This window comes from Homo sapiens, chromosome 14, assembly GCF_000001405.40.
Source record: "Homo sapiens chromosome 14, GRCh38.p14 Primary Assembly".
NCBI lineage: Eukaryota > Metazoa > Chordata > Mammalia > Primates > Hominidae > Homo > Homo sapiens.
Window position 1 is genome coordinate 81,908,977 of NC_000014.9, and position 26,417 is coordinate 81,935,393.

Sequence of the window (26,417 nt, forward strand, 5' to 3'; positions counted from 1 at the left end):
CATTGCACTACAGTCTGGGCTACAGAGAGAGACTCTGTCTCAAAAAAAAAAAAAAAAAAAAAAAGAAATGGGAAACAACTATCACTTGGTACCTTGACTGATTTCCAGCTTCTGCAGAGAGGAAGGGTGGGAGGTTAGTCTTTAGGAGTGTATTAGTTCATTGTTGTACCCAATATATTACACCCAATATTATAATTATACCCAATATTATAATTCTTATACCCAATATTATAATTCTTATACCTAGTATTACAATTCTTTAATTATAAAGAAATACAAGGATGAACTAATACTCTCCTAAAGAGTATATTAGTTCACTCTGGGTAACTTATAAAGAAAAGAGGTTTACTTAATACAGTTCCACAGGCTGTAAAGGAAGCATGATACTTAATACAGTTCCACAGTCTGTAAAGGAAGCATCTGCCCAGCTTCTACGGAGGTCTCAGGAAGCTTACAATCATGGTGAAGGTGACCAGGGAGCAGGCACATGGCAGGAGCAGCAGCAAGATAGGAGGTGGTGCCATACATGTTTAAAGTATAAGATTTTGTGAGATCTCACTCAACGATCATGAGGACAGTACCAAGAGGGATGTTGCTAAACCATTCATGAGAACCACCCCCATGATCCAAACACCTCCCACCAGGCCCCGCCTCCACCATTGGTGATTATAATTAACATGAGATTTGGGCAGGGACACAGATCCAAGCCATATCAAGGAGTAAGTGGAATTGTGTTGGGGAGCATATGAAAAAGCAAGGCATACTTAGAGAAGATGATGTTGTCCTCACCTTTGTAAGGAGCTCAACAGTACTCAGAAATTCTAACAATTCAAAACTTTGGAATATCCTGAGATAACAGCCCAATAATGAACATTTGTTCTTTCATAATAGGTTGTAGAAGTGTTTAAGAGTCTGAGAGTAGCTTCTAGGGGCAATGTGCAAGGACAAGTGTGAGAGTATTGGGTATTTTTTGTGCACAATAACCCACCTTTTTGGTCATACCTTGAAGGCATTATATTAAAAAAGCTAATTTTTAGTATTCAAATATTGGCAGTGTTCTGCTTTCAGAACAGGAAGTCACAAAATCAAGTGAAACTGAACTTCTGCTCAGGGAACATGCAGTAGACATACTTCTTTCTATTGCTCTTGTTAAGTACAAAAAAATCTAGAAAAAACATTAGAGAACTCTTTAAAATGGAGAGAAGACAACTAGGGGCCTGAAGACCCAAGGAACAACATGGTATTGAGTTGCCTGGGTTTTTGTTATGCTCCAAACTTGGAGCTAAACTTGGAGCTAAAGAAGCTAGCAATCTAAACATGCCAAAAAGTACAGGAGACAATAATAGCAACAACAACAACAACAACAACAACAACAACAACAACAACAACAACAAAATCCTGCTGTCTTTACCTACAGGACCAGAATAATAGAAGCCTAGGAAGGCAGAAAACTTATGAATTTAATTCCAGCCAAACTCCACAGAAAAATCTGCACCCCCATTTCCATCACCAGCAGCAAAAACCATGTGCCGAGTTTACACCTCAACTTCTTACCAGTCATATATAAGAAACCTCCAAATCCATCACTAGTGTGGTACTGAAGGGCAAGTAGAGAGCCGGGACTTAAAAAAAATTGTAGGTACATAGTAGTTGTATATATTAATGGGGCACATGAGATATTTTAATATAGGCATACAATGCATAATAATCATGTCAGGGTAAATGGGATATCAGTCAACTCAAGCATTTATTCTTTCTGTTACAAACAATACAATTATACTCTTTTAGTAATTTTAAGATGTACAATAAATTATTATCGATTATAGTCACCCTGTTGTGCTGTCAAATTCTAGATCTTATTCATTCTACCTAGTGATATTTTTGTACCATTAACCATCTTCCCTACCCCTGCCCCACTACCCTACCTCTGGTAACCATGATTCTACTCCATGAGTTCAGTTGTTTAAATTTTTAGCTCCCATAAATAAGTGAGAATATGCAAATGTGTCTTTCCATGACTGGTTTATTTCACTTAACATGATGACTTCCAGTTTCATCTATGTTGTTGCAAATGATAAGATCTCACTCTTTTCTATTGGCTGAAGAATACTCCATTGTGTATATACACCACATTTTCTTTATCCATTAGTCTGTTGAGGGAAACTTAGGTTGCTTCAAAATCTTGGCTATTGTGAATAATGCTGCAGCAAACAAGGTAGTGCAGATATATCTTTGATAGGCTGGTCTCCTTTTTTGGGTATATATTCCTAGTGATGGGATTACTGGATCATTTGGTAGCTCTATTTTTATTTTTTTGGGGAACCTCCAAACTGCTCTCCACAGTAGTTGAACTAATTTCCATTAACCCCAACAGTGTATGAGGGTTCCCTTTTCTCCACACCCTCATTAGTATTTGCTATTGCCTGTCTGTTGGATAAAAGGCATCTTAACTGGGGTAAGTTGATATGTCATGGCAGTTTCAATTTGCATTTCTCTGATGATCAGTGATGTTGGGCACCTTTTCATATCCCTGTTTGCCATTTCTATTGCCTTCCTTTGAGAAATGTTTATTCATATATTTTGACCATTTTTAAATTATATTATCAGATTTTTTCATATAGGATTGTTTAAGCTACTTATACATTCTGGTTATTAATCCCTTGCCAGATGGGTAGTTTGCAAATATTTTCTCCCATTCTGTGTGTTATCTCTTCACTTTGTTGATTGCTTCCTTTGCTGTACAGAAGCTTTTTAACTTGATGTGATCTCATTTGTCTATCTTTGCTTTGGTTGCCTGGGCTTGTGGGGTATTACTCAAGAAATCTGTACCAACTCCTATGTCCTGAATATTTCCCTCAATGTTTTCATGTAGTAGTTTCATAGTTTGAGGTCTTATATTTAAGTTTTTAATCCATTGTGCTTTGATATTTGTATATGGTGAGAGATAGGCATCTAGTTTCATTCTTCTGCATATGGATTTCCAATTTTCTCAGCACCATTTATTAAAGGGACTGTCCTTTCCTGATGTAAGTTCTTGCTACCTTTGTTGAAAATGAGTTTACTGTATAATATGGTTAGGCTTTGTGTCTCCACCTGAATCTCATCTTGAATTGTAATCCCCATAATCCCCATGGGTCAAGGGAGAGACCAGGTAGAGGTAATTGAAACCTGGGAGCAGTTTCCCCCAAGCTGTTATCATGATAGTGAGTGAATTCTCATGAGATCTGATAGTTTTACAAGGGGCTTTTCGTCTTTTGCTCAGCATTTCTTCCTGCTACATTGCAAAGGAGATGGCTTACTTCCCCTTCACCTTCCACCATGATTGTAAGTTTCCTGAGGCTTCCCAGCCATGCTGAACTATGAGTCAACTAAACCTCTTTCATTTATAAATTACCCAGTCTTGGGCAGTTCTTTATAGCAGTATGAAAATGAAGTAATACACTGTAGATGTATGCATTTGCTTTTGGTTTCTCTATTCTGTTCCATTGGTCTATGTGTCTGTTTTTGTGCCAATACCATGCTGTTTTCGTAACTATAGCTTTGGAGTGTAATTTGAACTCAGGTAACGTGGTTCTTCCAGTTTTGTTCTTTTTGCTCAGGATAGCTTTGGCTATTCTGGGTCTTTTGTGGTTCCATATAAAATTTAGGATTTATTTTTTGTTTCTGTGATGAATGTCGTTATTTCGATAGGAATTTCATTGAATCTATAGTATCAATCCATTCAATGCATAAAAATGTAATATCTTTCCTTTTTTTGTGTCCTTTTCAACTTCTTTCATCAGTGTTTAATAGTTTTTATTATAGAGATCTTTCACTTCTTTTGTTAGGTTAATTCCTAGGTATTTTATTTTTCTTTATTTTGTTTGTAGCTATTGTAAATGGTGTTATTTCCTGATTTGTTTTTCAGATTGTTCAGTGTTGGCATATAGAAATGTTAGTGGTGGCCAGGCGTGGTGGCTCATGCCTATAATCCTAGCACTTTGGGAGGATGAGGCAGGTGGATACCTGAGGTCAGGTGTTCGAGACCAGCCTGGCTAACATGGCGAGACCCCATCTCTATTAAAAATACAAAATTTAGCTGGGCGTGGTGGCTCATGACTGTAATCTCAGCTACTTGGGAGGGCTGAGGCAGGAGAATTGCTTGAACCCAGGTGGCAGAGGTTGCAGTGAGCCAAGATTGTGCCACTGCACTCCAGTCTGGGCAACAGAGTGAGATTCCGTCCCCCCCAAAAAAATGTTACTGACTTTTCTGTTGATGTTGTATCTTGCAGCTTTACTGAACTTGTTTGTCAGTTCTAATAGTTTTTTTCGTGGAATCTTTAGGTTTTTCCAAATATAAGACCATGTCATCTGTGAATAAGGATAATTTGAGTTCTTCCTTTCCAATTTGGATGCCCTTTATTTCTTTCTCTTGTCTGATTGCTCTAGGTAGGACTTCTAGTACTATGTTGAATAACAGAGGTGAAAGTGGGCATCCTTGGGGTATTCCATATCATAGAGGAAAGCCTTTTAGTTTTTTTCTCTTCAGGATGATGCTAGCTGTGGGTCTGTCATATATGGCTTCCATTGTGTTGTGGTATGTTCCTTAGGTACCCACGTTTTTTAGGATTTTTTTTAAATTATGAAGTTCTGTTGAATTTTATCGAATGGTTTTTCAGCACCAATTAAAGTGATAATGTGGCTTTTGCTTTTCATTCTTTTAATATAATGTAACATATTTATTGATTTGTGTATGTCAAACCATTCTTGTACCCTGGGATAAATCCCACTTGGTCATGATGAATAATCTTTTTAATGTATTCTCAAATTCAGTTTGCTAGTGTTTTGCTGAGGATTTTTGCCTCAAAGTTCATCAGGGGTATTGGTCTGTACTTTTCTTATGTTGATGTGTCTTTGTCTGGTTTTGGTATCAGGCTTCATAGAATGAATTTGGAAGTTTTCCCTCCTCCTCTGTTTTTTAGAATAGTTTGAGTGGGATTGGTATTAGCTGTTTTTTAACTGTTTGGTAGAATTCAGCAGTGCAGCCATCAAGTCCTGGGCTTTTTCTTGCTTGGAGATGTTTTATTATCACTTTGATATTGTTACTTGTTATTGGTTTATTCACATTTTGGATTTCTTCATGGTTCAATTTGGTAGGTTTATGTATCTAGGGATTTATCCATTTTTTCGAGGTTTTCAAGTTTATTGGCATATAGTTGTTCATGGGTCTCTAATGATCTTTTGAATTTTTGCAGTATCAGTTGTAATATCTACCTTTTAGCCTCTGATTTTATTTATTTGAATCTTCTCTCTTTTTTTCTTAGTCTGGTCCATTTGGTCTGTGGTGTACATTAAGTCCTTTTTGTGTTGATTTTCTGTCTGGATAATCTATCTAATGCTGAAAGTGGGGTGTTAGTCTCCAGACATTATCATATTTGAATATATGTCTTTCTTTAGCTCTAATAATATTTGCTTTATATAACTGGGTTCTCCAGTGTTAGGTGAATACATATTTGCAATTGTTATATCCTCTTGCTGGATTGATACAGTTATCATTATATAATGACCTTCTTTGTCTCTTACAGTTTTTGTCTTATGATATATTTTGTCTGTTATAAGTATAGCTACTCTTGTCTTTTTTGGCTCATGTTGGCATGGAACATATTTTTCTATCCCTTTATTTTCAGTCTATATGTGTCTTTACATGTGAAGTGTGTTTCTTGTAGGCAACAGATCATCGGGTCTTAGTTTTTTAATCCATTCAGCCACTCCTCTATTTTTTAAATCCATTCAGCCACTCTATTTTTTAAATCTATACGGCCTTTCAATTGGAGAATTTAGTCCATTTACCTTCAATGTTATTTTTGATAAGTAAGGACTTATTCCTGCTATTTTGTTATTTCCTTTTTGATGGTTTTGTGGTCTTATCTTCCTTCTTTACCTCCTTCCTGTCTTCCTGTTAGTAAACATGATTTTCTCTGGTGGTATGTTTTAATTTCTTGCTTTTTATTTTTTGTGTATTCATTTTATGTTTTTTTCATTTGAAGTTTTCATGATACTTATAAATACTATCTTATAACCCATTGTTTTAAAGTGATGATGACAACACTAATTTTATAAACAAACAAGCAAAGAGAGAACTAATAAAACTCTGTACTTTTCATTTTTTACATAAAAGGAAAAAAAATCCTAAAATTTCTGTGGAAAAAAAGAGCCAGAATATACAATGCAATCCTGAGCAAAACAAGCAGAGCTGGATGCATCACACTGCAGACTTCAAAATATATTATAAGGCTATAGTAAACAAAACAGCATGGCATTGTTATAGTAATAGACACATAGACCAATGGAACAAAATAGAGAAACTAGAAATAAAGCCACATATTTACAACCAACTTGTTTTTAACAAAGGCCCCAAGAAAATACACTGGGGAAAAAACATTATCCTCAATAAACAGTGGTGGGAAAATTGTATATCCTTGTGCAGGAGAATGAAACTGAATCCTTTCTCTCACCATATACAAAAATCAACAAAGATGGATCAAAGGTTTAAACATAAGGCCTTAAACTATAAAACTACTAGAAGAAGCATAGTGAAAAATACTTTAGAACATTGGTCTAGGCAAAGATCTTAAAAGCACAGACAACTAAAAGAAAAATGGACAAATGGGACTATATTAAACTAAAAAGCTTCTGCAAAGCAAAGGAGACAATCAACAGAGTGAAAAGGCACCTGCTGAATGAGAGAAAATATTTGAGAACTGTTTATCTGACAAGAGACTAATATACAGAATATATAAGCAACTCAAGCAACTCAATAATAATGATAAAAACAGCCAGGCTGGGCATGGTGGCTCATGCCTGTAATCCCAGCACTTTGGGAGGCCGAGGTGGGTGGATCACGAGGTCAGGAGTCCAAGACCAGTCTAGCCAAGATGGTGAAACCCCATCTGTACTAAAAACTATAAAAATTAGCTGGGCATGCTAGTAGGTGCCTGTAATCCCAGCTGCTCGGGAGGCTGAGGCAGGAGAATTGCTTGAACCTGGGTGACAGAGGTTGCAGTGAGCTGAGATTGTGCCGTTGCACTACAGCCTGGGTGACAGAGTGAAACTCCATCTCAAACAACAACAACAACAACAAATAATAATAATTTCATTAAAAAGTGGGCAAAGGACATGAATAGACTATTCTCAAAAGTAGACATTCAAATGGCTAGCAAGTATATAAAAAATGCTCAATATCACTTTCTGGTGGTGTTTGTGAGCCCGGCAGCCATGTCTTATCTCGCGATGATTATGAGTCTGAGGAGGCTTATGATCCCTATACTTATCTGGGCGACTATGGAGATCCAAAAGCAGGGCCTTGCTTATGAACGTCAGTATGAATAGCAAACCTATCAGGTAATGCCTGAAGTGATCAAAAACTCCATCTAGTATTTACGCAAAACTGTCTCGGATTTGACTGACCAGAAAGTGTATGAGCTACAGGCCAGTTGTGTCTCCAGTGATGTCATTGACCAGAAGGTGTATAGGATCCAGGACATCTATGAGAACAGCTGGACCAAGCTGACTGAAAGATTCTTCAAAACTACACCTTGGCCCGAGGCTGAAGCCATTGCTCCACAGGTTGGCAACAATGCTGTCTTCCTGGTTTTATATAAAGAATTATACTACAGGCACATATATGCCAAAGTCAGTGGGGGACCTTCCTTGGAGTAGAGGTTTGAATCCTATTATAACAATTGCAATCTCTTCAACTATATTCTTAATGTTGATGGTCCTCCTTCCCTTGAACTACCCAACCAGGGGCTCTAGGATATCATTGATGAGTTCATCTACCAGTTTCAGTCATTCAGTCAGTACTGCTGTAAGACTGCTAAGAAGTCGGAGGAGGAGATTGACTTCCTTTGTTCCAATCCCAAAATCTGGAATGTTCACAGTGTCCTCAATGTCCTTCATTCCTGGGTAGACAAATCCAACATCAACCGACAGTTGGAGGTATACACAAGCGAGGTGACCCTGAGAGTGTGGCTGGGGAGATGCTTGGTTACTTCAGCCTTGTGGGGTTTCTCTGCCTGCAATCCCTGTTAGGAGATTAGTACCAGGCCATCAAGGTGCTAGAGAACATCGAGCTGAACCAGAAGATCATGTATTCCTGTGTGTTAGAGTGCCAGGTCACCACATACTATTATCTTGGGTTTGCGTATTTGATGATGCATTGCTACCAGGACGCCATCCAGGTCTTCACCAATATCCTCTTCTACATCCAGAGGACCAAGAGCATGTTCCAGAGGACCACATGTAAGTATGAGATGATTAACAAGCAGAATGATCAGATGCATGCGCTGCTGGCCATTGCCCTCATGATGTACCCCATGCATATCGATGAGAGCATTCACCTCCAGCTGCAGGAGAAATATGGGGACAAGTTGCTGCGCAAGCAGAAAGGTCACCCACAAGTCTATGAAGAACTTTTCAGTTACTCCTGCCCCAAGTTCCTGTCGCCTGTAGTGCCCAGCTATGATAACGTGTACCCCAACTACCACAGAGAGCCCTTCCTGCAGCAGCTGGAGGTGTTTTCCGATGAAGCATGGCAGCAGGCCCAGCTTTCAAGCATCTGCAGCTTCCTCAAGCTCTACACCACCATGCCTGTGGCCAAGCTTGCTGGCTCCCTGGACCTTACAGAACAGGAGTTCCGGATCCAGCTTCTGGTCTTCAAACACAAGATGAAGAACCTGGTGTGGACCAGCAGCATCTCAGCCCTGGATGGTGAATTTTAATCGGTCTCAGTGGTTGACTTCTACATCGATAAGGACATGATCCACATCATAGACACCAAGGTCACCAAGCGCTATGGGGATATCTTCATCCATCAGATCCACAAATTTGAGGAGCTTAATCGAATCCTGAAGTAGATGGGACAGAGACCCTGATGACATTCACACATGTTATTCAGGAACCTGTTTTGATATATTATAGGCAGGAAGTGTTTTTGCTACCATGAAACCTTTACCTAGATCAGCCATCAGCCTGTCAACTCAGTTGACAAATTAAGGACCGAAGTGTTTCAAGTGGATCTCAGTAAAAGATCTTTGGAGCCAGAAAAAAAAATGCTCGACATCACTAATCATCAGGGAAATGCAAATCAAAACCATGAGATATCATCTTACCTTAGTTAGAATGGCTATTATTAAAAAGACAAAAAATAACAAATGCTGGCATAATGTGGAGTAAAGGGATTCTTATACACTGTTGTTTGGAAAGTAAATTAGTACAATCACTATGGAAAACAGTATGGAGATTTCCCTAAAAACTAAAAATAGAACTACCATAAGATCCAATAATCCCACGGTTGGGGATCTATCCAAAGGTAAAGAAATTAGTATTTCAAAGGCATACCTGTACTTACATGATTATTGAGCACTATTCACAATAGCAAAGATCTGTAATCAACCTAAGTGTCCATCAGTAGATTAGAAGATAAAGAAAATGTGGTATACATACACAATGAAATACTATTCAGCCATTAAAAAGAATAAAATGATGTCCTTTGCAGCAGCAGCATTGATGGAACTGGAGGTCATAATATTAAGTAAAATAATCCAGGCCCAGGGAGACAAATATCACATGTTCTCACTCATATGTGGGAGCTAAAAAAGTTGATGTCATAAACATAGAGAATGTAATGATAGATATCAGAGGCTGGGAAGGGTGGTTGGTGGAAGGGGGGATGAAGAGGGGCAGGTTGATGGGTACAAATATACAATTAGATAAAATGTATAAGTTCTCCCATTTGGTAGCAGAGGAGAATGACTATAGTTAGCAAGAATATATTGTATACTTCAAAGTAGCTAGAAGAGAGGAGTTGAATTGTTCCCAACACATAGAAGTGATAAATACTACAAAGTGATGGACACCTCAAATACTCTGACTTGATCATTACACATTCTATGCATGTGACAAAATATTACATATATCTCATAATTATGTAAAATATTACATATTAATAAAAAAGAAATTTAACAGGGAAACAAATAGAATAAAAAACTTAAAAATTGAATTAAAAAGAAAGCCGAATGTATTACTTTCCTAGGGCTGTCGTAAAAAGTACCACAAACTTGGTGGCTTAAAACAACAGAAATTCATTACTTCATAGTTCTGGAGGCCAGAAGTCCAGCATCAAGATGTTTATAGGGCCATTCTCCCTCTGAAACCTGTAGGATAGAAGCCTTCCTTGCCTCCTTCAGTTTCTGCTGGTGGCCTGTAATTCTTGGAGTTCCTTGGCTTGAAGCTGCATTACTCCAATCTCTGCCTCTGTCATCACGTCTGCCTTCCCTCATGTGTCTGTATTGCTTCTCTTTTTCTCATAAGGACACCAGTCTTATTGAATTAGGGGCACACATTACTCCAGTGTGAGTTCTTCTTAACTAATTACATCTGTAATTATCCTATTTCCAAATAAAATCCCATTCTGTGGTACTTCAATGGATGTTTTCAGGGGACACAATTCAACTTATAACATTGAGAGAGTAGAAGATGTAGATTTAAGAGAGCTGGGTTATTTTCCATTAAAAAGTACAAAAGCTCAATAAGCAAAATTAAGTGACATATGATGGTCAATTCTTAGTACTTTCCTTTGTATTTCCAACTTATTTTCTAAAATTCAGAAAATATTTTTATGTGTTGTTTTTCATTAGCTGCCATGGTAATGATATAGTTTCCCTGTGTCTATATATTTTAATTGAATTTCTATAGATTTATAATAATAAATATTGCCAGTAATGAGAAAGGTTATGAGAAATTTCCTTCACAATATATTTATGATTATCTCACCATAGGAAAAGAAGAAATAACAGTTCAAATGCAAAAAAAGTAACTGAAATGATATAGAGTGTGCTTTTTGTCCACAATGGAATCAATCTAGAAATTAATAATAGGAATATAATGGGAAAATTTCCTAACACTTGGAAATGAAATACCACACATGTAAATTGTTCATCAGTCAAAGATGAAGTATCATGTGAATGTTTTAAAAAAGCATTACATGAAAAGGGAAATACAGTATATCAAAATTGGTAGAATACAGCGAAAACAGTGCTGAGATGAAAATATAAAGCACTAGATACATATATTAGAAAAGAAGAAAAGCCTCAAATTAATAATTTAAGATTCTACCTCAAGAACGTAGGAAAAAAGAACAAAATAAACCCAAAGCAAGCAGAAGGAAGGAAATAAAGAGCAGAAATCAGTTAAATTGAAAACAGTAAGACAACAGAGACCATCAGTGAATCAAAGTTCTGGGTTTTCAAAAAGATCAATAAAATTGACAAAACATGTAGCAAGATTGACAAAGATAAAAAAAGTAAATTACCAATATAAGAATAAACTCACTACAGATCCTGCAGACAAGAAATAGGTTATTAGGGAATACTGCCAACAACTCCACACATATTTGATGACCTAGTTTAAATGGACCAATTCTTCAAAAATCACAAACTACTCAGATTTATGTCTTAATTGTAGGACAATTTTTTAAAGGGAACAAATGGAAGAAAAAAATCTCCACAATCTAATACAAATCATTCAATACAAAATAGATAATTTGAAAGCACTATAGCTATTAAGAAAATTGAATTTGTATTTTAAAAGCTTTTCAGAAAAAGGCACAGGTGGTTTTGCTGCAGAATTCTACAGATGTTTAAAAATAACTAAGACAATTCTACACAATCTTCTCCAGAAAATAAAAGAGGAAACACTTCTTAATTCATTTTGAGACGCTCACCAAAGCCAGAAAAAACAATACAAAAAATGAGAATGAAATCCACAGAACAATATGCCTCATAAATATAGATGCAAACATTTAAAAAAATTAGTAAACATAATTCAGCAACATATAAGAATTACACATCATAACCACTTTGGTTTTATTTCAGAGGTTTAAGCCTGCTTCAACATGTGAAAATCAATAAATGTAATCCATCATATGAACAAGCTAAAGAAGAAAAACCATGTGATTGTATCAATTGATGCAGAAAAAAGCATTTGACAAAATTCAATACACATTTATAATAAAATTACTGTGAAAAAGAAATAAACTGGAACTTCTTCAACTTGATTAAAAAAATTCTACAACTAACATTATAAATGGGTATTAAAAAAAGGAATGTTAATGTTTTATCTCAGATTGAAAGCAATGCAAGGATGTATGCTCTCACCACTCTTTTTAAACATAGTAGTTCTGGAAATGTTGGCAGGTTCAAGAAGGCAAAAAAAAAAAAAAAAAAAAATCGTGTTTATTTACAAATGACTAGGAATCTACAGAAAAACTCCCCGAAGTGTAAGTGGATTCAGCAAGGTCAAAGAATACAAGCTGAACGTTCAATAAAAAACAATTACATGTCTACATACTAGCAATGAATCTATGAGACCCCATAATAAAAATGCAATGCAAATTCTAATCACTCAAATAAAATACTTAGGTGCAATTCTAAAAGAGACATGTACAGGACTTTTGTGTTAAACTACAAAATGCTGATTTAATAATGAAGATCTAAATAAATGGAAAGACGAACCATGTTAAAGGAAAGACTCAACATAGTAAAGATGTCAATTATCCCCAATTGATATACAGATTTGACACAATTTTGATATGAAAATTCAAACAATAATTTTTGTAGATATAGACAAGATTAATCTGAAAATTTTTATAAAAGTACAAAAACACTAGAATTGCTGAAACAATTTTGAAAGAGAAGAATAAAGTGGGAGGAATGAGCCTATCCAACTTCAAAATTTATTAGATAACCAGAGTAATCAAGATTGTGTGGTGCTGGTGAAGAGATAAACACACACATGCCTTAATGGAATAGTATAGAAAGGCCAGAAACAGACCACACAAACATGCCTAACTGATTTTTGCTAAAGATATTAATTCAATAGAGAAATAATAGCTTTTACAACAGAAAGTTCCAAAGCAATTGAACATCCACAGGTAACAGCAACAGCAACAGAATCCCTTGACATCAACCTCACACCTTGCACAAAAAATTAACTCAAAATTTATCACAAACTGAATTCTAAAATGTAGAATTGCAACTTTTTAGGGAAAAATATAGAAAAAAAAACCTTTGGGAACTAGGGCTAGTTAAAGAATTCTTATACTTAAAAGCAAAAGGTGATCCATAAAGGAAAAAGTTACAAAGCCATCAGTTGAATTTCATCAAAATAAAAATGGTTTCCCTGCAAAAGGCATTTTTAATTTTAATCCTGTTAACAGAGGATTAAAAAACAAATCACAGACTGGGTGACAATATTTTCAAACCACATATCTCACGAAGGACTATTACATAGAATAAATAAGGAACACAAAAAATCCAACAGTTTTAAACAAAAACAAAACAAAACCCATCCAATTAGAAAAATCCAATTATGTTTTATAGTAAAAGACATAAACAGAGAACCTATCCAAGATGATACACAAATGATATGTTAGCACATCAAAAGGTATTTAATTAATTTAACATCATTAGCCATTAAGGAATTCCAAATTAAAACCACAATGAACTGTTACTACATATGTATCAGAATATTGACAACACCAAATGCTGACAAAGATTTGGAGAAACTAGGTCACTTACATGTTGCTGGTGGGAATATAAGATGGTACAGCCACTTTGAAAACAATTTAGTGGTTTCTTTAAAAAGTAAACATGCAACTGTCATCCAACCCAGTGATCATAATCCTGAGCATTTATTTCAGAGAAATGAAAACTTTTACTCACATAAAAATCTGCACATGAATGTTTATAGCAGCAGTATTTGTAATAGCCAAGAACTGAAAACAATCTAGATGTCCTACAATGAGTGAATGTTTAAACAAACTGTGGCATCTATGCCATTGCATGCTATTCAGCAAGAGTAAGGGAAAGAAAAATGGATACATTCAGCCACCTGGATGAATCTCTAGAGAGTTATGCTAAAAATTTCCCAAAAGATTATATACTATATGATTCCATTTATATAACATTCTTGAAATGTCAAAATTATAGTTACAGGGAGCAGATTATTAGTTTCCTGGAATTAATGAGGAGATGGGGCAGAAGAAAGTGGTTGTGGCTAAAGGGAATATATATATATATATATATATATATATATATATATATATATATATATATATATATATGAAGGAACTGTGGCCAGGGGAATGAATGATTCCCAAGACTTTGCCTAGGACGTGGCCCAGAGGAAGAACATATGAAACATTTATTAAGCAAATGAATGAATGAAATTATTTGAATAAAGTCATTCAGTGAGGAAGAAACAGGTCTGACTATAGAATCCAGATGTCCTATTAGCCCTCTGTCAAATGTTCCAGACTTCTGCCTTGGGCCTATAAAATTAAGCTATACTTTTTTTTTGTTTGTTTTTAAATTTTTTTTTTTTTTTTTTTTTTTTGAGAGAGTCTCGCTCTGTTACCCAGGCTGGAGTGCAGTGGCTCAATCTTGGCTCACTGCAAGCTCCGCCTGCCGGGTTCATGCCATTCTCCCGCCTCAGCCTCCCAAGTAGCTGGGACTACAGGCGCCTGCCACCATGCCCGGCTAATTTTATTTTTGTATTTTTAGTAGAGAGGGGGGTTTCACCATGTTAGCCAGGATGGTCTCGATCTCCCGACCTTGTGATCTGCCTGCCTCGGCCTCCCGAAGTGCTGGGATTACAGGCGCTAGCCAGTGCGCCTGGCCTGTTTTAAAATTTTTTACTGTTGTCCCTCCTTATCCATTCAGGATGCATTATATATATACACACACATACACACACACACACACACACACACACACACACACACACATATATGCACACCTTATCCATTCAGGATGCATTATATATAAACACACACATATATACACACACACACACATATGCACACACACATATATATATATATATTTTTTAGACGGAGTCTCGCTGTCACCCAGGCTGGAGTGCAGTGGCATGATCTTGGATCACTGCAACCTCCGCCTTCTGGGTTCAAATAATTCTTGTGTCTCAGCCTCCCAAGTCACTGGGACTACAGGCGCCCGCCACCATGCCTGGCTAATTTTTGTATTTTTAGTAGAGATGGAGTTTTACCATATTGGTCAGGCTGGTCTCGAACTCCTGACTTCAAGTTCCTTCATTTTTAAAGGAGGTGTTAGACTCTAAGGTCTCTTCTAACTTTATAAGTAAAAAATCCAAAGGTTTTCAAGTTGATCTAGTAGCCAATAATCATTATTAAGCATTGAGCTTGGTTTCTATTTGAGCTACAACTTGCTCTATAAACCGTTTGATTCAGAGATTGCCTCTATAGCTCTTCATTTACCCAATGCTACCAAAATAGCTTTTAACATAATAGGCACTCACTTAAGTTTTTATTGATGTTTTATATAATTACTTTATCACAAGGTCAGTACTTCAGAACTAGCACTTCCTAAAGTAATTATCCATTCTCAGATGCACACCAAACTTAAATGCCAGTCTAAAAAATCTTTTTCTATGCTATGTAGTCCACCAGCTGTTTTAAGGCAATTATGTGATGTTTAAATGTTCCATATTAATACTAATATAATTCAGCTTAAATGCATTTTAAAATTGTAACCATTTATAACTAATCTTATACAACTATATGGCAAATATGATAAGCATCCATATTATAGAAGATAGGAATTTGTAGAGACCATCAGGCTGCAGATAACAGCTTATTGGTCTGAAAATCAAATCTCTAATGCTTAAAGAAGCCAGGAAATGCTTAAAGAGTTCTAATTTTCTCAGAAAATTTTTCTCTGATTTTCAAAGTAGAAAGTTCTTCATAGTGCTTGGTAGTTTTAATGGATATTTTTAATGACCCTCAGATACCTGGTGAAGTTGTAGAACTAGTGTCTGTTTAGGAGTTAGAGACACTTTGGCTTAATTTTGCCTAGTTTATATCTGCCTTTGTCTTCAAATTATGGATTTGTTATTTAATACAGTGGTCTTGAGGAATTAAACACAGATGCCACATGGTCTATGAGTTTAGGTTGTGGGCTTATACTCAAAAAAGTACCCCCTGCAATACTCCTTATGCAATGTCAACAGACTCATTCTCTATAATGCTATACAGCTTATTTACTTGTTTTTAGAGTTCATTGGTGGTCAGAGGCAGAAATCACTAGAAGACATTACTCTGATAGCAGCAAGAATGTCCAGAAAATTTTCTAGCAGTATGGGAAAAAAAGCAATAAAACTTACAGGTACTACCTCAGTCTCACTCAGATCTTACTTATCGATGGAAATGTTGAATCAATAGCTCCTTCTGTCAAATGACAGAACCCCAGTCCCCACCCCCATTCTCCTCTGCTTTTCCCTGGGATGCCCTGGAGATATGAGTGAGGGTGGGGTGGACTATTCGTATTTGAAATCAGCTAACTGAACCTCTTTGGATTCTCTACTCCAAGTGCTTCCCCTGAGACTCTATTCTTAGCCAATGTCTGCTGTTGCTTTATTGGCCCCATTGACACTGCCTGCTATCACTCTCTGGCCTACTAACTACTCTCTGTTCATAGTTTGCTGGCCATATTGCACCCCACAGTATTCCACAGTTATGACATTCTATAGGTCAAGAGACATGATCAAATCCGAGAATTCCCAGGGCTGAGAAAAAAGAGTTACAAAATTTGATTCTCTTTGTTGATTGCAGGCAGGCTTCACTTCAAATATCATAGCCCCAATTTTTTTTCAAACAAAATATCTATTAACCTCATGAAAATAGGAGAACCAATAATATAACTGGAGAGTGTTGAAGTAGATCATTCAATTCTACTTGCTATAATGTATAAGCCAGAGGTCTGAACTACCCAGAACCACTAAACATATAACTGAGAAAGTGTAAGATCTCAAAAATTATAAAAGCCTGAGACCCTTTAATGAAGAAGGAAATGGTCTATCCACCTCAAATTTTCTTTCAGGTATTACAGTAATACTGCATTAGTGTTGTAAATATCATGATAATAAAAAAGCAATAAATATTTAAATCATTTGTCATTTCTTTTTATAAATTCACAGCAGTATATAATCTTTTCAGGAATAAATTTCAATTAAAATGGTTAAAACAAAAACGATTTGATCCTAAAGTGTAAGCCTCAGGTAACTTGGAAATTTGCATGGAAGTTCTTCATTCTTTGTAACAGATGCATAAATAAGATCCCATTGAAATCAGTGCTGTTAAAAGACCTATAAATGCTCACAATTATAGTAATTTTTATAATGTTCTTTGATAGCCTAAATATCCAGTGCTCAGTGCTAGGCTTGGTACATACATTATCTCAAATACAACAATTCTGTAGTGTGATGAGTTAACTGAGGTTCAGAATGGTGGAGTGATTTACCAAAGGTCATACTGGAGAGACAAAATTTGAACACTATTTTTTGTATGAGTTCAAAACCTTATTCTTTTTCATTTTCACCACACTATAATACTAGATTCCTCTTGCCTAGCCAAGGCAAGATGAATCTGAGATTTATGAAAGATTATTAGAATGATTACAACAAGCTATATTCCTTCATCATTTCCTACCAGTGGGAGGAGGAAGTATGACAAACAGGTGAGAAAAATATGGGGATATATTTGCTCAGTAAAACCTTGGAGATATTTGGATACTTGCCGTAGAACTTTGTTTCCTGCCTCAAAGTGTAGTTTCTTTTTGCTACAAAATTTATCTTTAAAGAGAGTCATTGTAGGCTGGGTGTGGTGGCTCATGCCTGTAATCCCAGCACTTTGGGAGGCGGAGGCAGGTGGATCACAGGGTCAGGAGTTCAAAACCAGTCTGACTAATATAGTGAAACCTTGTCTCTACTAAAAATACAAAAATTAGCGTGGCATGGTGGCATGTGCCTGTAGTCCCAGCTATTTGGGAGGCTGAGGCAGGAGAATTGCTTAAACCCTGGAGGTGGAGGTTGAAGTGAGCTGAAATCGCGCCACTGCACTCCAGCCTGGGCGGCAGAGCGAGAATCCGTCTCAAAAAAAAAAAAGTCATTGTATTATGCCATTGCCAGACTATGTACTAGCTAGACCATGAACAAAGTGAACAGCTTAAAATATTTGAGTGATACTGTCTTTCTGTTTTCTTTGTCTTAAGAAAAATGAAAGAGCCAAAAAGGTGTGATAGTCTATTCATCCTTCTTACACTGTACATAAAAGAACACATAGTGGGACTCAACACCCTGCAGTATGTTCAGAAGAGAATGATTTGGTTGATGGAATGAGCTAAAACCCTACCAAGCATCAAAGAACTAGAAATCTCCAGCAGAGGGAGTGGTGTCCTTTCAGTCGTCTTCCAATAGTGAGAAATTCTTATGCTAAAAAGCCTTAGCCTTCCTCTCTGTGGTCTGAGAGGCCAGAAATAGAATGGAAGTTAGAAGGTAGACCTCTTCTCTCCACAAGAATGAGTTTCCTTACAATTTAGCCATATAAAATTTATATCATTGTCTCATAAGGTGGTAGAATCCTTACCACTGAGGAACTCAGGTGTTTGTACTCACATACTGGGTGAGTATTATTAATACTTGGGGAATAGTAGACCATTGGTTTCAATGTAGGTTTTTATTGAGTTTTCTGCTCCCTCTTCTTATCTTCCTTCTCCTCAGAATAAAATCTTACCTGGAATGCTAATCCTGTATATAAATCAGGTAAATGTGATATTTCTCAAGCTGGATTAGGGCTGAAGCATCATTGAGGAACCACAGAGCTCCATGAAACACAGCTTGAAAACCACTAAAAATTCCTGTAATCCCAGCACTCTGGGAGACTGAAGTCCAAAAGTTCAAGACCATGGAGACCTGTCTCTACAAAAAATACAAAAATTAGCCAGGCATGGTGGTATGCGCCTGTAGTCCCAGCTACTTGGGAGGCTGAGGTAGGAGGATCGCTTGAGGCCAGGAGGTGGGGGCTGCAGTGATCTACTGCCCTATAGCGTGGGCAACAGAGCAAGACATTGTCTAAAAAGAAACACACACACACACACACACACACACACACACACACACACACCAAATTAAGCTTTGGATGGGAACTAGATATTTATGAGCCACCTTACTCTTCTGAGAATCTGAGTGAATGGAAACTTTAGATGTAGTGATGTTGACCTTCTAAACCTCAAACCTGAATTTGAACAAGGCAAACAATCTTAAATACTCAGTCTGTTTCTTCTCTCTCTTTTCTCTGTGTCTTAATGGAGCTGAAGGAGGCCAACAAGAAGATTATCATGGAGATTTTATTTAATATCACCTCTCTCCCTGTTTTCACCCCCATCCCCATTTTACCAAAAGAAACAAGTGTGACAAACAGGTGAAAAACAAGGAGACTTGCTTGACTATTGCAGTGCTAGAGTCTGACTGCCAGGCTTCTTCAGAACTTTCTTCCATGCTCCAAAGTGTTTGCTATTGCTACAAATGTTGTCTTGAGAAACAATCATTTTATATTGCCTTTATAATGGAATTTTGAAAGGTTTTCAACCGTCTTTTGAAAATTGAAGCTGGGTAAGGATTTTCTGTTTGGGGTGGAGGAAACTAAGTCTTTTAAAACTTATTTTACCTAAATAAAAGTTCTATGACTACTACATTTCATTTACTCATCCTCCCAAAGGTCTATTTACTTCCAAATGTCATCTCTAAATTATATATCTTCAAGGATTCTCATTAGTTGTGTTCCCTGAAGCTCCATGGTGCCTGTTAAGTTGAATTATAATTTTAAAGAATGACAGGTTGGAATTGAACTTTTTTTTCTTTTTTTTAGCATGGATCAACACAGAGTTCTTTCTGAAACCACCAGAGTAGGTAGAATTGAAACTTTGGCACCTACCACAACTTAAGTTGCTTTGTCAAGTCAGGTCTGGTTCCAGAGTATGATCTACTTCCTCCTTTTCTCAAAAGTAAGGCCACTCTAAAAGTTAAGTTTGTCAGAGCCTGGATGGCCAAGGATCAGATCCTGGATCCTACCTCTATGAGTCCTTAAGAGTTTCTGGGTACATTTGGCCGTACTGTATGTTATTTTACTAGGAGAAACCTTACTCTATTTCTAGACAAGTAGTGAGCCATTGATCTGTATTTATTGTTTAGCAAATATTTAATGAATGCATTGATATCATACTGGCGTTAGGGCATATCCCCTGGACTAATGGAAATAAATTTCACAAGTGACTGTTTTATTAAAATTAGAAATATATATATATGTGTGTGTGTGTGTGTGTGTATTAGGTTGATAATGATAATGATGATGTTTACATGTACCTTAGACTTCTCTTTCAGTCAACCGAAAAAAAAGTGGACTCTTTCACTAACAAGATAGAAACTGGAAAAATGAAATTTCCAGGCCCTATACTCTAGAAAGACATTTTTTAATCCTCCCTATACAGCAGGTGTGATAAATTGTATTCATCCAAACTTATGATGATCCAGCTGATTATCATCTAGTGGAGATTGCTCCCATAACTTGGGCACTAATGTGATAATAACTGTTACCATTTATGGAATGTTCATATTTTATTATCTGTATGCATTATCTAATTTAATTACAGCAATTATAGTAAATGATTTTATTATCCCTATTTTACAGATGAATAAATAGAGATCCAAGGGTCATAGTATTTGCCCCAAATCACAAAACCACCAATGTCAAGAGTTAGTTGTGCTTGGTTCCAAAACCCAAGTTCTTTCTGTGGTATTGCCTGGCTCACACTGCCCTTCTCATGCCTTTGGAATAAATCAAGACCTCATAATTGAGCAGGTGTGAATGTTGTTCAACTAGTGGCTATGCTGCGGAGGGAAATTTTTTATTTTAATTTTTAAATTTTTGTGGGTTGAGGGGAAAAATTTATGAGAGATTATACTACTGCTCTATTGGATCAGGAATCAATGCAGGTTCAGAGTCTCCCAGAGTACAATTCTATGTTTCCTCATGACCTGAAGAATAATCTGTGCTTAATGTTTACTGATGGTGTTGAAAAAGCCTCCAGTCACTCTATTCCTAGAGTGTTATTGTGAAAAGTTTCTTGACATGCTTTGCTAGAGTTTGTTAAGAACCAAGGGAGATCCCGGACTGTAGGAAATAACATTTTCCTTCAATTAAAAGACAGAAATACTTCTAGATCATTTATAAAAGATGTCTGGTAACTTCCAAGAAGCACATCTTACCTCAAGGGCTGAGATTTAATCTGTTGGAGGGAATATTCCAAAGTAAAGTTGTCAGCACCTGCTAGTTAAACCCTACATTTTGAAATGGTGGAAAACATCCATATTGACATAAGAATTTTGTCTCTGAATCCTGTAGACTTTATCAACTTAATTTAGCACAATTAATGCAGATCATCCCTTATGGATGGGCCTTAGTTCATGAATTATTTGGTTTGTAATGAGCTTTTTCAAATGACGAGAGACGCTTTGTGTTGAGCTTGCATCTTTGCCATCAATACAGCAAATTGCCCATCATTCATTAGGGCCCCATGCAACTTCCAAGTCAACAGGGAATAGAACAGAGGAAACACAGGACTGAAGGGGAAAAGTATATTGAGGAGTAGAGTTTTCAAGTTTCTGCTTGTGCAAGTTAACCTTTCACAAGGATTGAAGCCAACTAAAATTATGTATAACGAAATCCAATTCTCCTCTCCCTCTATCCTTGAATTAGAGGTATAATTAAAATTTCATCAGAAAAACAAAAGCAAAAAACTCCACCTGAGATTTTAGAATACTGTTGCTGTTATTTTTATCTCCTAACTTTAACTGAGCGTCCCCTTTGGATAATATTTATCCCTTGATATTCTTCTTAGTACTCTGAAAAACCACAGAGATGCCCCCCCCAGTCTAAAAGACAACAGCTCTACCTGAACAATCCAGGCAATGAAGAAAAAATAACAAATAATGACAAAAACATCTACCTTGGTTTAGTTTTGAATTTTGCATCAGTCTGGATGTTTGTTGTTAGGTGTTTGTTCACATTTAATAGACATTGTTTGTATCCCATAGATAGATTTGCTAGGTTTGGACTCAGCATATAGATTCATTTATTTGTTTTTTCATAGACTCAATCTATGAGGTAGCTATGATGATTATTAGCCCCATTACAAAGATGAAGAAGCTGTAATTTAGTAGTAAGTGATTTCCTTAAAGCATTGTATTAGTCCTTTCTCACACTGCTACAAAAAACTGCCTGAGACTGGGTAATTTATTTAAAAAAGGAGGTTTAATTGACTCACAGTTCTGCATGGCTGGGGAGGCCTCAGGAAACTTAAAATCGTGGCAGAAGGGGAAGCAGGCACATCTTACATGGCAGCAAGTGAGAGAGCATGTGAAGGAAGCGAAGGGGAAAGAGCCCCTTATAAAACCATCAGATCTCATGAAAACTCTCTCACTACCATGAGAACAGCATCAGGGAAACTACCCCCATGATCCAATCACCTCCCTGCCTTGACACCTGGGGATTACAGATCCCTTCCTCAACATGTGAGGATTACAATTTGAGATGAGATTTGGGTAGGGACACAGAACCAAACCATATCAAGCATGTTCCCCCAAAGTTTTACAGCTGGGATTTTTAATCCACTGTTTCAAATTACCTAAAGTTGGTTACATTTGGAAGAAGATATAGTGGTGGTATAGTCAGAAAAGGGACAATTGAAGTGTAGTCTGCCACCATCGGCTTGACTAGCTGTTACTGGATGGAGGATAACTTTGTTCAAAATTAGTTAACTCTTTCAGGATATATAGCCTGAGATATCTATCTATCTATCTATCTATCTATCTATCTATCTATCTATCTATCTATAGATATAGATACAGATATATATCTTGAGATATAGATATATATCCTGAGATATAGATATATATATCCTGACATATAGATATATCCTGAAAGATATAAATCCTGCATATATATATATATATGTACAAACTTCTCATGAAAATTTTTAAGCTCTCAAGTATTTGACCTCTGAAGATTTTTCCAGAATTAACTTTTTGAAAATATTCCCATATGTATTCCCACTTTAGCTTAATTGCAATGGAATTCTTACTATTATTATGACATTTGGGTCATGCCTTGTGCCTTTGTTCATGGTGCCACTTATGTAAATTTTTCACATCCTTAAGTGCTAAAATGCCACTTTCTCTGTGAATCCTTCCTTGATATTCTGTCACAATTAAATACTCTCTCATTTAAGTGCTTTCATCGAGTTATGTATATTATTATGTCATCTCCCTGTATTTGAGTTAGTTATTACAAACTCCTTGAAGGCCAGTCCTTTTTCTCTTCCAAACATTTTTACTAGTTTTTAAATAAGACAGAAAAACAGGAACAAAATGTGAAATAATTGAATAGAAAGAGAGATTTTTTTTTCTTTTTTAACTTAGGCATCAAAGGAAGAAAAAACTTCATGGAGGAGAACTCATGTAGCACACTTTTCTCTATTTTCATCATTCTTAAAAATAAAGATTTCCTCTTCTCCATTTGCCTTTTGAAAATAAATGTTGAAAAGTTTTTTGCTTGGTGAATGAGATCTAATTATGTGCTAGTAATTTCTTGAAAGAGGCAAGAGTTTACTGGGTCTCCTGATATTGACTAGCATTTGGGTCTCTTGTGCAGTCACACTCAGGACCCCAGTGTGAACACCACTGTGCTCGTAGATAATTGGATCTGTGTTCAGAGTTTGATATATCTGCCCAGAGAGGATTGGCTTAAAGTCAGAGGCAAAGTTTAAAATAGTAAAAGTAGAAGGAGTAAAGTAAGAGGACAGGTTTTTTGTTTTTCTTTTTTGAGTTGTTAATTGAATCATTACAAATGCCATTTTGAAACAGGGAAGGTAGTGTGTATAATTGCAAGCATTAAAAAGAGCAATAAATGTTACAGCACCTCTTTTAGACATGAATATTGAGAGCTGTTAACAGAATTTCACAAGTGGAAGATTCATCCAAATGTATTTGAACATTTGCATGGTTGCCTTGTGCCTGGCAGTGTCTTGAGTTTGAAGAAATCTTACCTACAAAAGGTTGGGATCTGTTGTGGGAGGAGAGATCATGCAAAAATTGGAGGGGTTGACATAGATGTCTGGAAGCACCAAGGAGGGAACAAATAACTCTCTCCAAAGAAATCTGGTAAGGCTTCACCTCAGAGGTGACATCTGCCTGGCCAAGAAAAAAATAGTGAAGCAGAGCATGTTATGCAAAGGGTACAGGCTATGCTCAGCTTCGGAGGTGTTAAAAGGTGGGGTGTGTTCAGGAATAGTGAATAATCCAGTGTAGTAAGATGCAGTGCTGGCAGCCGTGTTTCCTGAAGTGAGGCTGGAAATGTAAGGTAGGGAGGGATGATGAAGAGTCGTCTATCCTGTGACAAGAGGTTTGAACATTATCCCAGGTAATAAAGCCTTTAAAAGGGAATTTAGTGCAGGAGGGGAGCGTAGTACAACCATATACCATTATATCTTATAAGGACTTTTTATTATTTCAGTCCCTTAGGACTAAATTTACAAGCATGAAAACAACCATCTAAATTAAAAGGAAGTGTCAATGCTTTAAGGCCAGAGGAACCATCAACCAAATAACTAGCAGCATTGTTTAGGGTGAAATAAATCAGGTCCTGTCCCTGAGTGGGTTTGCCATTCTCTTCCAGTTTTTCCCATGAGTACAGATTGTAAGCTTTCTGGAGAATTATTTCCGCAATTAAAATGCTAGAGTCAGTGCTAAATTATTTAAACCTCAATAATTGCTTGATGACTAGTAATTGTGGACTTTGGGAACTTTTGCAGAGTTAAATATAAGGATTCTGAAAGGTCATTAAAATTCCCTAATGTTTTTCCCCACGCGTGCAAGGCTTTTGAGTCTTTACACCTCAAGTCTTAAGCAGGAAAAGAGCAATGAATACTTTTTTGGAGGCTTACTAGAATGATCAAATCTGTCTAAGATGTTATAATGAAATCTGTGTAAAGCTCATTCTTACTCTGGAAAGGGGCCACATCTCTTACCACAATGGACTGATGAATGCACAGCTTAATTAGCAACTCCGCCTCCAGTGGGAGATCAGCAACTTTTCAAAATATCTTTGTTCAATGTCATTTTTTCCCCAGCCCTTTGACTAAACAGATAAATATTAAAATTCATTTTCCCCCCTCCCTCTGTGTCTTTCTTCAAGGGTCTTTTCTTTTTTGTGTTATCTCCCTCTCATAACATGGACTGTTCATCTTGAGATTCTAGTTGGAAGAACAGGAGGATTCTGGCAGGGTTAGAAGTTGTCTCTTCTGACTTCTCTATTTCAACTTCACTTAAAAAGTCAAAGGTGTAGGTGCAGATTTGAGGAATAGAATTAAGGGTTTGAAACATGGGCTTTAGCAGGCTTTTCTCTTTGGTTCTCCTTCTGGTCTCTAAGGAAGTAAGAAAGTGTGAATTTTGAGATGTTTTTCAACCCAATCATTTACCCAATTGATACAGAAATAAAATTAGGTTAAAAAACCAGACAAACAAACTGATCACAAAATTCTATCTATATCTTTTGAATGTAAAATATTTAATAAACCAAAAGGATTAAACTCATTAAATGAAAAATGAATGGAGGAAGCATTCATAAAAGGGCATTATACAAACTGCGGGGATAGACAAGAGAAGTAACTAATCCCACAACGTTTCTTTTTTTATTTATTTTTTTAACCCTGATAAGAGATATAAATAAGGAGAAAAATTCAAGCTTTTTCTATGTATAAAACTTCCTTTAAAGAAGCCAGAAGAACATTTCTTCCTTCTCTACAGGCTGAGTTGAAGTGGGGAAGAGGCAATAGCTTAGCTCTGGGAGTGGGCTCTTCATTTTTCTACAATCCGGGTAGGGTGAGGTGGGGTTGTACTATTAGTGTTATTTTTGTTTCCTGAAGTTCCTACTTTTTGCACCTGGTGAATAGGGCTTAAGTTGTACTTCATTGCTATTATTTGAACACTAAATATTATTTTTGTAGTAATTACATCTTTTAGTGCATTCATAAATGGTCTAAAATGATTACTGTGGAACTCATTTTACTGCCAAGATTAAATTTATAAGCAATATGCTAAGCAACTCAATTCAACAAATATTTATTGAGTGCTTCCTCTTTATTAGTACTGGAGTTAGATCAATGAATAAGAAAATGGTCCTACTTGCAAGGAGGTCACAGCCTGGTAAGATCAAGGAAGAATTGTCGAAAAGAGCCAAACTAAATGCAATGAACTCTGTAAGTATGTAGGGGAATGTAGATCCTAGAAACCATTTTTCGTTTTCTTTTGAGGTTAAAAATGAATGCTTTTTGGGGCAAACTTAATTATCAGATGGCATGGGACAGCTACAAGCTAATTTTATTTTATTATTATTGTTTGGGACAGGGTCTCACTCACGTCACCCAGGCTAGAATGCAATAGTGTGATCA

General features: G+C 36.5%; 1 long non-coding RNA gene and 1 pseudogene across 1 annotated transcript in view; both read left to right on the top strand.

Annotated features, from left to right (window-relative positions):
- The window catches only part of LOC107984704 (uncharacterized), a 336,950-nt gene that overhangs the window by 171,780 nt on the left and 138,753 nt on the right, over window positions 1–26,417 (top strand). The window lies entirely within an intron of this gene.
- On the top strand, window positions 7,224–9,082 carry EIF3LP1 (eukaryotic translation initiation factor 3 subunit L pseudogene 1; annotated as a pseudogene).